Genomic DNA, 13,549 nt, shown 5'->3' with positions numbered 1-13,549 from the left:
TTGCCTCTGTTGTGGAGTAGTAGACTGATTTAGTCTTGATAGTCTGGGTCAATCACCCCAGCCAACACTGTAACTCCCTTCTTAACCTGTTGACTTAAAGGTAAGAGGATCCCAAAGTATCCAGTTGGCAATCCTAACTTCTAGTTTAATGGAATCATTGTTGTGTCTCCTGGAGGCAGTGTTCCTCCCTCTGGAAGTAAGACATCTAGGCCAGCAAAACTTAATGTTGTGAAAACAGGAAGCAAAAATTTTGCTAGTGAATCACTAGAGGTGATGGTGAGTCATGCCACTTGCACTTCCACCCCTTGATTCCTGAACCTATGAATCCTGGCTATGACAGAAACAGTACCATATATTGGACGCTGATTCAGAGTATACATGGCCTTCTGGAGAACTTTGCCCCAGCCCTGCAAAGTATTGTCACCTAGTTGGCATTGTTAGTGTGACTTCAAAAGATCATTCCACTGTTCTATTAATCCAGCTGCTTCAGGATGATGGGCAACATGATAAGACCAGTGAGTTCCATGAGGATGAGCTGACTGCCACACTTCTTTTGCTGTAAAGTGAGTGCCTGGGCAGAAACAATGCTGTGTGGAATACCATAATGGCAGATAAGGCATTCCATGAGTCTATGGATGGTAGTCTTGGCAGAAGCATTGCATGCAGGATAGGCAAACCCGTATCTGGAGTAAGTGTTTATTCCATTGAGGACAAACCTCTACCCTTTCCATGTTGGAAGATGTCCAGTATAATCAACCTGCCACGAGGTAGCTGTCTGATCACCCCGAGGAATGGTGCCATATCGAGGGCTCAGTGTTGGTCTCTACTGCTGGCAAATTGGGCACTCAGCAGTGACCATAGCCAGGTCAGCCTTGGTGAGTGGAAGTCCATGTTGCTGAGCCCATGTGCAACCTTCATCCCTGCCACCATGGCCACTTTGTTCATGGGCCCATTGGGTGATGAGGGGTGGCTGGGTAAAGAGGCTGACAGGTGTCCACAGAATGGTCATGCTTTCCACTTGATTATTAAAATCCTCCTCTGCTGGGGTCACCCATTGGTGAGCACTCACTTGGGATCCAAGTATCCTCACAGTTTTTTTACCACACCACAAAGAGGTCCATCCACTTATCTCTTCCCCAGATTTCTTTGTCATTGATTTTCCAATCATGCTTCTTCCAAGTCACTGACCATCAAGCCAAACCATTGGCTACAGCCCATGACTTATTATATAATCACATATCTGGCCATTTCTCCTTCCATGAAAAGTGCACAACCAGGTGCACTGCTCAAAGTTCTGCCCACTGGGAAGATTTCCTTTCATCGCTGTCCTTCAGGGATGTCCTAAAAAGGGGCTGTAGTGCTGCAGCTGTCTACTTCCGAGTGGTGCCTGCATATCGTGCAGAACCATCTGTGAACCAAGCCCTAGTCTTCTCTTCCTCTGTCAACTGACCATAGGGAACTCCCCATGAGGCCACTGGTGCAGGCTGGGGGGGAGAATGCAGGATGGCAGGAGTGGAGACCATGGGCATTTGAACTACTTCCTCATGTAACTGACTTACGCCTTCAGGACCTGCTTGAGCCCAATCACGTATATACCACTTCAATTTGATGATGGAATGCTGCTGTGCATGACCCACTTTATGGCTTGATGGGTCAGAAAGGACTCAGTTCATGATAGGCAGTTCAGTTCACATGGTGACTTAATGACCCATAGTCAAACGTTCAGTTTCCACCAAAACCCAGTAACAGGCCAACAGCTGTCTCTCAAAAGGAGAGTAGTTATCTGCAGAAGATGGCAGGGCCTTGCTCCAAAATCCTAGAGGCCTCCACTGTGATTCACCTATGGGAGCCTGCCAAAGGCTCCAAAAAGCATCCCTATCTGCCACTGAAACCTCAAGCACCATTGGATCTGCTGGGTCAAATGGCCCAAGTGGCAGAGCAGCTTGGACAGCAGCCTGGACCTGTTGCAGAGCCTTCTCCTGTTCTGTACCCCACTCAAAACTGGCAGCCTTTCAGGTCACTTGATAAATGGGCCAGAGTATCACACCCAGATGAGGAATGTGTTGCCTTCAAAATCCAAATAGGCCCACTAAGCATTGTGCCTCTTTTTTGGTTGTAGAAGGGGCCAAATGCAACAACTTATCCTTTAGAAGAAATATCTCGACAGGCCCCACACCTCTTGACCCCTAGAAATTTTACTGAGGTAGAAGATCCCTGAATTTTAGTTGGTTTTATTTCCCATCCTCTGGCACACAAATGTCTCACCAATAAGGTCAGTGTGTTTGCTACTTCTTGCTCACTAGATCCAATCAGCATAATATCATCAATGTAATGGACCAGTGTGATATCTTGTGGAAGCAAAAAGGAATCAAGATCTCTCTGAGTAAGATTATGACACAAAGATGGAGAGTTGATATACCCCTGAGGTAGGATAGTAAAGGTATATTGCTGGCCTTGCCAGCAAAAGGCACATTACTTCCGGTGGGCCTTATGGACAGGAATGGAGAAAAAGGCATTTGCCATGTCAATGGCTGCATACCAGGTACCAGGAGATGTGTTAATTTGCTCAAGCAATGAAACCACATCTGGTACAGCAGCTGCAATTGGAGTCACCACTTGGTTAAGCCTACGATAACCCACTGTCATTCTCCAAGATCCATCTGTCTTCTGCACAGGCCAAATGGGAGAGTTGAACAGGGATGTGGTGAAAATCACCACCCCTGCATCTTTCAAGTCCTTGATGGTGGCACTAATCTCCACAGTCCCTCCAGGGATACAATATGGTTTTTGATTTACTATTTTTCTAGGTAGAGGCAGCTCTAATTGTTTCCATTTGGCCTTTCCCACCATAATACCAGTCAGGGAGCCAATGTGGGGGTTCTGCCAGCTGCTAAGTATGTCTATGCCAATTATGCATTCTGGCACTGGGGAAATAACCACAGGATGAGTCTGGGGACCCACTGTAATTTGGACCTGAGCTAAAACTCCATTAATTACCTGACCTCCATAAGCCCCTACTTTAACTGGAGGACCACAATGATGTTTTGGGTCCCCTGGAATCAATGTCAGCTCAGAGCCAGTGTCCAGTAGTCCCCCAAATATCTGCATTTCCCTTTTCCCCAGTGCACAGTTACCCTGGTAAAAGGTTGGAGGTCTCCTTGGGAAAGGACAGGAGAAAGATGAACAGTATAAATTGTCAGAAGTATAGTGGGGTCCTTCCTCAAGGGAACCCAGCCTTCCCCTTCATTCAAGGTGTTCTGAGTCTGTAAACCAGCTCAAGTCTGGAAATTGATTGAGGGTCCATGATTCTCTGTTTGTATAATTCAAATTTGTCTTTTGTCCATTCAACCTAGAAGTTTTCTGCTTATATAAATTAAGGAGGAATGCAGTAGGCTTCCTATCATTTTCACTTCTAGGAACACCGTGATTAATTAGCCAATGCCAGAGCTCTACAGAAGTCAGACTATTCTGATTGCCGCTTTGCCTCTGCTGTCCATTATGGTAGCTATGCCTACCTTGCCTTTGACGGTTGAGTGCCACTACTTGGCCCCTGGCACCATGGGATCCAATTACTCCCATTGCAGTTAAATTTTGTAGTTGAGTGACTGCAGCTCCCACTGTTGGATCTAACATACAGAGAAGAGCAATTACAGGGCTCTTCAAAGATGCAGGTACTGCCTCACAAATCTATTTTGCAAGGCATTGGTCAAGGGTGTATCTTCTGGACCCTCCCAGCTGGGATGAGTAGGTCTAAAGTGACTAATCCACTCCACCATTCTAATCTCCCTAAGCCTTTTGATCCTTTTCCTGTACATTAAACCAAGGGAAATAAGTCATTTCCAGCTCACTCACAGTGGGCCATCTCTTAATCCATATTTCAGCTAACCAAATAAATGATTAGAAGCTTTTTTTAACTCCCTGAGCTGCAACATTAAATGCAGAGTCCCTACTTAATGGGACCAAATCAATAAATTTGGCCTGATCCAACTCTGTGTTCCTTCCACCATTATTCCACACCCTTAATATCCATTCCCATCCCTGCTCTCCAGATTGCTGCATATATAAATTAGAAAACTCAAGCAGTTCTTTTTGAGTGTAGTGTACCTCCTCATGGGTCACACTCTCAACCTCACCTCTGGAGGCCCACAAGGACTTTAGTTATAGATCTGGAAGAAAACAGGAGTGTTGGGGGTGGCCATCACAGGCAAGATAATGAGAATCAACATTATCTTGCCTGGCAACTGCCTCAGGGGGGGCCATCACTGTTGCCTCAGGAGACACAGGGTTTATCTCCTCAGATAAAGGTGGAAAGGCTGATGGCAGCATGGGTTGGGGAGGCAATGTTGCCACTACTGGGGATGGGGAAGCTGTTTCTTCTGGCAAAAAAGGTTCATCAGAGTTTATAAACTCAGTGTCCCCCACTTCATCAGGGTCCTCCCACATGTCCCCATTCCAAGTTGCAGAGTCCCATTCTTTTCCAGTCTTTTCATCCATTCTTTTCCAATTTTCTTCACTTTAACAGTAGACACCTTGTGATGCTGTGCATGCACTTTTCATGGCAGGTTTGCCACTCACATGATAAGAGCTTGTGTGTGTTTTTCCACAATTTCAGCTCTTTCTCTACAGGAGATAAGACTCTCACTCAAGGTGATATTAGCAGATTTGAGGGTCAGTATCTGTTTCTGAAGATGGGAGTTAAAATCCCTGAGTTCATCATTTTCTTCCATCACTTTGTCCACTGAACTTAGGAGCAAACAACCAACTTCATTATGTTCCTTGCTTCTCCACATATGGTCAAAGGTATTATGTACAGAGTCACTAAATTCCTTGCCTCTCATGAGCGATAAATCAGGAGTGTCAAATGCATTTATTTTGCATAACTCTCTAAACAGTTCATGCCAAGCAGTATCAGTGTTCTCCATACTATTAAAGGAGAGACCTTAGCACTTTTGGTTCTAATCATATTAAGCAAGCAATGCCAAAAACCCCAAAACCAGTGAAAGAACTCCATCCTTAATATTCTGTTCCTCTGGAGCCACTCCTGGTACCAAAATCTGTATTACTCATGGTTCTCTAGATGGTCAGAACTAATAGGAGATATATATATATATATGAGGAGTTTATTAACTCATATATATATATATATATATATATATATATATATATGAGGAGTTTATTAACTCACACAATCACACGGTCACACAATAGGCTGTCTACAAGTTGAGGAGAAAGAAGAGCCAGTCCAAATCCCAAAACTGAAGAACTTGAAGTCCAATGTTTGAGGACAGGAAGCATCCAGCATGAGAGAAAGATGTAGCCTGGGAGGCTAGACTAGTCTAGTCTTTTCACATTTTTCTCCCTGCTTTATATTCTAGCCATGCTGGCGGCTGATTAGATGGTACCCATCCAGATTAACAATGGGTCTGTCTTTCCCAGCCTACTGACTCAAATGCTCATCTCCTTTGGCAACACTCTCACAGACACACCCAAGATCAATACTTTGCCTCCTTCAATCCAATCAAGCTGACACTCAGTATTAGCCATCACAGTCTAGAAGAAATGGACAAATTCCTAGATACATACAACCTACCAAGATTGACCCAGGAAGAAATCCAGAACCTTATACCAATAACAAGTAATGAGATCAATGCCATAATAAAACATCTCCCAGTAAAGAAAAGCCTGGAACCCAATGGCTCCACTGCTGAATTCTAACAATTGTTTAAGAAAGAACTAATATTAATCCTACTCAAACAGTTCTGAAAAATAGAGGAGGAAGGAATACTCCAAACTCACTCTATGAGGCCAGTAGTACCCTGAAAACAAAATCAGACAAAGGCACGTTAAAAAAAGAAAACTGCAGGCCAACCTATATTATGAATAGTGATGCAAAAATTATCAGAAAAAAACTAGCAAACCAAATTCAACAATACATTATAAAAATTATTCATCATGATCAAGTGGGATTTATCCCAGGGATGCAAGGAAGGTTCAATGATATTTGCATATCATTGATTTGATATGCAACTCAAACAATGTGATACATCATATCAACAGAATGAAGGATAAAAACCATATGATCATTTCAACTGTTGCTGATAAAGCATTTGAAAAAGTTTAACATATCTTCATAATAAAAACCCTCAAAAAACTGGGTATAGAAGGAACATACCACAACATAATAAAAACCATATATGACAGGCTCACAGCTATTATTGTACTGAATGTGGAAAAACTGAAAGCCTTTCCTCTTAGATCTGGAGCACAAGGATGCCTACTGTCACCACTGTTATTCAACATAGTATTGGAAGTCCTAGCTAGGGCAATTAGACAAGAGAAAAAAATAAAGGGTATCCAAATTGGAAAGAAAGGAGCCAAATTATCATTGTTTGCAGATGCTACCATCTTATATTTGGAAAAATATAAAGATTCCACCAAAAAACTATTAGAACTGATCAATAAATTCAGTAAAGTTGCATGATACAAAGTTAACATACAAAAATCAGTAGCATTTCTTTATGCCAACAGTCAACAATATGAAAAAAAAAAAATCCCAGGAAAAATAGCCACAAATAGAATTAAATACCTAAGAATTAACTTAACCAAAAAAGTGAAAGTTCTCTAAAATGAGAACTATAAAACACTGGTCAAAGAAATTGAAGAGGACACCAAAAAATGGAGAGATATTCCATGTTCATGGATTGAAAGAATCAATATTGTTAAAATGTCCATACTACCCAAAGCAATCTACAGATTCAATGCAATCTCTATCAAAATACCAAGGACAGTCTTCACAGAAATGGAAAAACAATCCTAAAATTCATATGGAATCACAAAGGACCCATAATAGCCAAAGATAACAAAACTGGAGGAATCCCATTACCTGACTTCAAATTACACTACAGAGATATAGTAACCAAAACAGCATGGTACTGGCATAAAAACAGACACACAAACCAATGAAGCAGAATAGAGAAGCCAGAAACAGAGCCACACATCTACAGTGAACTCATTTTTGACAAAAGTGCCAAGAACATACACTGGGGAAAGACAGTATTTTCAATCAATGCTGCTGAGAAAACTAGATATCCACATGCCGAAGAATGAAACTTGGCCCCTATCTCTTGCCTTATACAAAAATCTTATCAAAATGGATTATAGACTTAAATCTAAGTCCTTAAACTATGAAATAACTACAAGAAAATTTTAGGGAAGTTCTTCAAGATATTGGGCAAAAGTTTCCTAAGTAATACCCCACAAGAGCAGTCAACCAAAGCAAAAATAGACAAATGGGATCACACCACATTAAAAAGCTTCTGTACAGCAAAGGAAACAATCAACAAAGTGAAGAGACAACCCACAAAATGGGAGAAAATATTTGCAAATGACTCATGACTAGGGATTAACAACAAGAATATATAAGGAGCTCAAACAACTCTATAGGAAAAAATCTAATAATCCAGTTTAAAAATGGGCAAAAGATTTGAATAGATATTTCGCAAAAGAAGACATGCAAATGGCAAACAGGCATATGACAAAGTGCTCAACATTATTGATCATCAGAGAAATGCAAATCAAAAGTACAAGACATCATCTCAGTCCAGTTAAAATGGCTATTATCCAAGAGTCAAGCAGTAACAAATGCTAATAAGGATGTGGATAAAAGAGAATCCTCATACACTGTTGGTGAGAATATAAATTGGTACAACCACTACAGAGAACAGTTTGGAGGTTCCTCAAAAAACTAGAATTAGAGCTACCATACAATTCAGCAATCTCACTGCTGGGTAAATACTCAAAAGAAAGGAAATCAGTATATTGAAGTGACAGCTGCACTCCCATGTTTGTTGCAGCACTATTCACAATAGTCAAGATTTGGAAGTAACCTACATGTCCATCAACAGAGGAATGGATAAAGAAAATATGATATTTATACACAATAGAGTACTATTGAGCTATAAAAAAGAATGAGACTACCATTTGCAACAGCATGGATGGAAGCCAGGCACAGAAAGACAAACATAGCATGTTCTCACTTATTTGTGTAATCCAGCAATCAAAACAATTGAATTCATGGAGATAGAGAATAAAGGGTGGTTACCAGAGGCTGGGAAGAGTAGTTGGGAGTTGGTGTTAGGGGAAGGGGAGGATGGTTAATGGCTACAAAAAAGTAGTTACAAGAGTGAATAAGAGTGCTATCAATAGTATTTGATAGCACAACAGCAGGACTATAGTCAATAACAATTTAATTGTACATTTTAAAATAACCAAAACAGTATAATTGGATTGTTTGTAACAAAGGATAAATGCTTGAGGGGATGGATACCCAATTTTCCATGTTATGATTATTACACATTGCATGCCTGTAGCAAAATATCTCGTGTACTCCATAAATATATATACACCTACTATGTACCCACAAAAATTAAAAGTAAAAGAAATTAAAGTTTTTTAAAATTAAAAACCAAAAAATAATTCTGTCAATGATGTGAAGGAAAAACTCTTTTTTTGAGACGGAGTCTCGCTCTGTCGCCCAGGCTGGAGTGCAGTGGCGCGATCTCGGCTCACTGCAAGCTCCGTCTCCCAGGTTCATGCCATTCTCCTGCCTCAGCCTCCCGAGTAGCTGGGACTACAGGCGCCCGACACCACGCCTGGCTAATTTTTTGTATTTTTAGTAGAGACAGGATTTCACCGTATTAGCCAGGATGGTCTCGATCTCCTGACCTCGTGATCCGCCTGTCTCGGCCTCCCAAAGTGCTGGGATTACAGGGGTGAGCCACCGCGCCCAGCTGGAAGAAGAACTCTTATACACTGTTGGTAGGAATGTGAATTAGTGCAGCCATTATGGAAAACAGTATGAGGATCCTCAAAAAACTAAAAACAGAACTATCATATGCTCTAGTATGTCATATCATATGACAAATACTACTGAGTATCCAGGCAATGAAATCAGTATGTCAAAGACATTTCTGCACTCCCATATTTATCATAGCACTATTCACAATAATCAAGATATGAAATTAACCTAAGGGTTCATCTACATAAAAGGATAATGAAAATGTGCTTTAAATACACAATGGAATACTATTAAGTCATATAAAAATGCTGTCAGCAACATGGGTGAGCCTGTAGGACACTGTGTTGAGTGAAATAAGACAAGCATAGAAAGACAAATATCACATATTCTCACTCATATGTGGAAGCTAAAAAAGTTGATCTCATAGAAGTAGAGAGTAGAATAATGGTTACTAGAGGCTGGAAGCAGGTAGGGGAATAGGGAGAGGTGGGTTAACAGAAAGAAATTTTAGCTAGATAGGAGAAATAAGTTCTAGTGTTCTATAGCACTGTAGAATGACTATAATTATAAATAATTTACTGTATATTTTCAGCAAGAAGAGAGGATTTCAAATGTTCCCCATACAAATAATAAATATTTGAGGTGATGAATATGCTGATTACCCTAATTTGATCATTACACATTGCATGTATTGAAATATCACACTGTACTCCATACATATGTACAATTATTTTGTGCCAATTAAAATTTTTAGAAAAGATATATATGGGAAGTGGATTTTTGAGTAATTGTTAATAGCATAAAGTAACATAATGAACAGTTTAGACCAGAAAAATTAAAACAGTGAATCATCTTTATTATACCATCTCTATCCATTTATGCCTAGTGTTCTATTATTGGAACGCTAAGCATGTGGGAGTTATTTATATTCTACTGCTCAAGGTCATCGCCAAGGTCTGATTTTTCACATGTGTCTGCAATTCAAAAAATTGCAACATCCGGCATAAATGGTTAAGGTATAGGTTAGTATTACAAAAGACAGAAAAAAAAAAAGTGAAAATGAGAAATTACCTGGTACCCTCAAACTACTTGTTAAGATAGGAATTTGGTTTCTGGACCTTTTTTGACTTCAGAAGGGTTTACTTAAGTTGAGACAGAGTCCATGCCCCCTCCCCTAATGGCACCTTTGCTGCCTTCAGTGGATGAATGGCATGAAAACCCGCACGCACACAGTGGTGTTCACCATTCCTCTCTCCTGAAGACATCACTTTCTGCAGCTCTCACTGTAGGTTCTTATTTTCCCACATCCAATAAACTACTTCTGACTGCTGTCTGATCACCACTCTTCCTCTTTTAAAAGTACATTTTTATATTACGTCTTGGCATATACCTATGCCATCTTGAACCCTTTTCACTTTTGTCTCTCCTCTACTTCTGACTGCTGTCTGATCACCACTCTTCCTCTTTTAAAAGTACATTTTTATATTACATCTTGGCATATACCTATGCCATCTTGAACCCTTTTCACTTTTGTCTCTCCTCTTCTAGTTTAACTCTCCTATTGTCTGAAATACTGGGAACTGATTCATATCCTCCCTTCCCAGTCCATCTCTGCAATATCATCCAACATTTACTGAACATCTACTAAGTGCCAGATGCTCATTTCAATGGCCATGAAAATGACTCATCCAACCAGTTAGCTCCATAGTTCCTGGGCTACCTTAACTTCAAAAACTGTCATCTCCATGCCATTTTAGTCACTCACTCCCAGGACCATACCCTTTGTCTTGTCATTGTCAAGGACCCCTCCCTTCTTAAATTGTAATTTCTTCATTCAACTCTGGTTACAACACCCTAGCCCTTTGATCTCATAGAGATTCACTCCTGTATTACTTTTCTCAGGCCACCATTAGGAGGACCATATAATTTATTGTCCAAAAGATAATATTTTGCAAGTGAAAGTGGATGCTGTAATAATTATGCCAAGATGATACTGAGCAAACAGGGATGTATGATCACGTTAGCTATCATCACTTCTGGGTAATTTTCCTTTCCTATTCAACTTGTGGTTAGCCATCTGAACTGATTTCTTGCTGGCCCTCTTTCTTCCTCTTGCATTCTTCTGCATTATTGTCTATAAATTGCCAACCTGGAACTGCGCTGCCATTTGCCTTTTTTTTCCCCCTATAACCCTGCAGACTGGGTTATCTAGACATTCAGTTCCCTAACTGAGCCCTCAGAATCACCCTTCAATCATTTCCATCTTTACTCGCCTCTCTTTCCTATTCCTCTCAAAAATAATTCCACACTTTTACTACTTTTAGAAGAGCTCCTTCTACTCAGTCTTTGACTCCTCTCCCAGCAAATGAGCAAGAATCCTCCTCCGTTGAACGAACTGAGATTTGTAGCTGCAAACTCCCTCATCTTCCCACTCTTTGCATTTCACTACAAATTTACTTCCAACAAGGCTATTCTTGGTCCGTTAAGTCCAAAATAAGTGTCTGTCCTTCTGCTCAGCCACCTGTGGTGTAGATCGTCCTCTTCTGGGCTTATACCAAACCCAGTGCATCTCTCTATCACTAATCTCCCACAGGGTTTTACAATTACCTGATTAGGTGTCACATTCCCCACTGAGCTGGAAACCTCTTAAAGGAAAAAACTGTGAATTATTCATCTCAGTAGCCTCAGGGCCTAGCAAGACTTTCAGTAGGTATTTGCTGAATGAGTGAATGCACTCAGGCAGGCAATATCGTTTGCATTCTTTCTTGGTGGTCTGATTTATAAGAGCAAGAAAAACAAACACTTCAGGGCAATTTATATCCTTGTTTAATTAAACTAAACAGAGGCTGTGTGCTTTCACTTGTAGGAAAAGTCAACAAATAAAATGGTTTTGCTCTGTAAAGGAATTGGATTCACAGAATTCCTAAGTTTAAAGTTTGTTTTTAAGACTCTCAATGGAAAAACACATTTTAGCTGGTCTGGTAGAACATCTCAAAAGAGTGAATAATAAAATGTTGCTCAGGCCCTGGGATTTTTATTTATCATGTTTTGAGGCAAAACTCTCCTATTTTCTGGCTTAAAGAGTGGATGCATTATTGTCAGGTCTATGACTTAACCAATTATGGAGAAACTTTGTTTTGGAATGGGTCAAAGAATAATGATTTTTAGAAAGTAAGTTGGTTTTGCTATAAAGAAAGATTTTCTTATACTCTTTGATTCTGAGTAGGCATTTCTCCTTTCACATGCTAAGTTTGTATCAATAAATGTCATGTCATATATAAAGAGGCTGCTACTGTCCCTGTGTTAGGTGTATTTTAAGTATTTTTTGCTTTCTGGGTAACACATTGTGCCTAGCAATTATCTGCAGAAATATTTGTGTGGTTAGAAATTGTAGGTTATCTGTATTTTGAGCAGAAAGAAGCTGACCCATGGGGGGTGGGGGAGGTAGGGCTACAACAACAGCAGTTCGATGGAAGATTGGACAACATTTTGTGATTTCTTCATGTGTCTGAAGGAATTCCCAATATTCTTACAGCAAAATCATGTCCATTAATTTGATTTTTTAAAAAATTGAGCACATTCCATTTGGCACCCCCTCCGTCCATTCATTGAGCACGTACCCTAGGTCAGATACCAGGCTAGACTCTGGCAAAGGTAAAATGAATAAGAAAACCTCCTTACCCTTCTTGTATTCTGCAAAGGAAAGCAGCTATGGAAACAAAATTATTGTACAGTGTAGTAAATGCAAACAGAGAAACACAGTACTTACCCAGTTTTGTTCTGGCACTGAAGGGGGAAAAACTTAATTTGGCAGAGAAAATTTCTCTGTAGAGAGAATAAAATGTTTGATGGTGTAAAGGTGTGAACTAGCATAGTGTGTATTCTTGGTCATGGCTGGTACTTAAACTAGGGGGTATGGGATAGGGGAGGGGAAATAAAACTGGAGAAAGAGGAAAAGAACCACCAGATGGAGGGTCTAACACATCACATCAAGGGCATTGAGTTTTATTCTGTGGGCAAGGGAGAGCCAATGAAGGGTTTTAATGGGAAAGAAAGAAACAGATCTGTGTTTTAGAAAGATCATGCTGTCATACTGTGTAGGACTGCTTGAACTGCAAAAATAACTGAAAGCAGGGAAATGAGTTGGGGAGCCCTGGTAGTTGTTCAGGTGACAGATAATAAGACTTAAACCAAGGTAGTAGCTGTGAGGATGGAGCAATGTGGAGAGATTAGAAACATTTAATTGGGAGAATGAGCAGAATTTGGTGACTTGATTTAATCTGGAAAGAGGGTTGGATAATGGAAAAGAAATTCGGGATTTTTTTTAAGTTTCTGACTTAGATGACTTATAAAATGAATATGTGCAAATGCCATTTCTGAGAGCGTGGAGGTGGCAGAAAATATAAAACCAAACCAAGAACAATCGGGTACTGAAACTCCTCAAAGGTGGGGAATTACTGCTCTAACTCACTGTGACCAACTAGTCTCAGATACATCTTTAAAATTGTTTACATCACCCATTAAGTGGATTATAAATAACTTCTTTTACTTTTGGCAGACATTTAAAAGCTCTTTTAAAATTATGGAATATAAATATGCATTATTTTCTTGAGAGAAACTAACAAATGTTATGTAAATTCAAAAATACTCCTTTTCTACTTTTAAAAATCTATTTGTTAAGCAGTTCTGAAATGAAAGTAAATGAAGAAGGTAATTAACTGTGGGGTATAAATTCCCCCCAGGGTTAGAAGG

General features: G+C 40.0%; 1 protein-coding gene across 14 annotated transcripts in view, besides 1 other annotated feature; it reads left to right on the top strand.

Annotated features, from left to right (window-relative positions):
* SLC35F4 (solute carrier family 35 member F4) overlaps positions 1-13,549 on the top strand; it is a 419,262-nt gene that overhangs the window by 257,036 nt on the left and 148,677 nt on the right. The gene's annotated exons all lie outside the window — the stretch shown is intronic.
* Positions 10,790-11,786: an enhancer, noted in NCBI's record as "OCT4-NANOG hESC enhancer chr14:58181078-58182074 (GRCh37/hg19 assembly coordinates)". NCBI's record gives its function as "activates a minimal SCP1, AML or CMV promoter by ChIP-STARR-seq in naive and primed H9 embryonic stem cells {active_cell/tissue: H9 hESC(naive and primed)}" and the evidence as "EXISTENCE:reporter gene assay evidence [ECO:0000049][PMID:30033119]".

The sequence above is a fragment of the Homo sapiens genome, chromosome 14, assembly GCF_000001405.40.
Source record: "Homo sapiens chromosome 14, GRCh38.p14 Primary Assembly".
Taxonomy (NCBI): Eukaryota; Metazoa; Chordata; class Mammalia; order Primates; family Hominidae; genus Homo; species Homo sapiens.
Note: the sequence above shows the minus strand (reverse complement) of the source record. Positions and strands in the feature narration are given on the sequence as shown.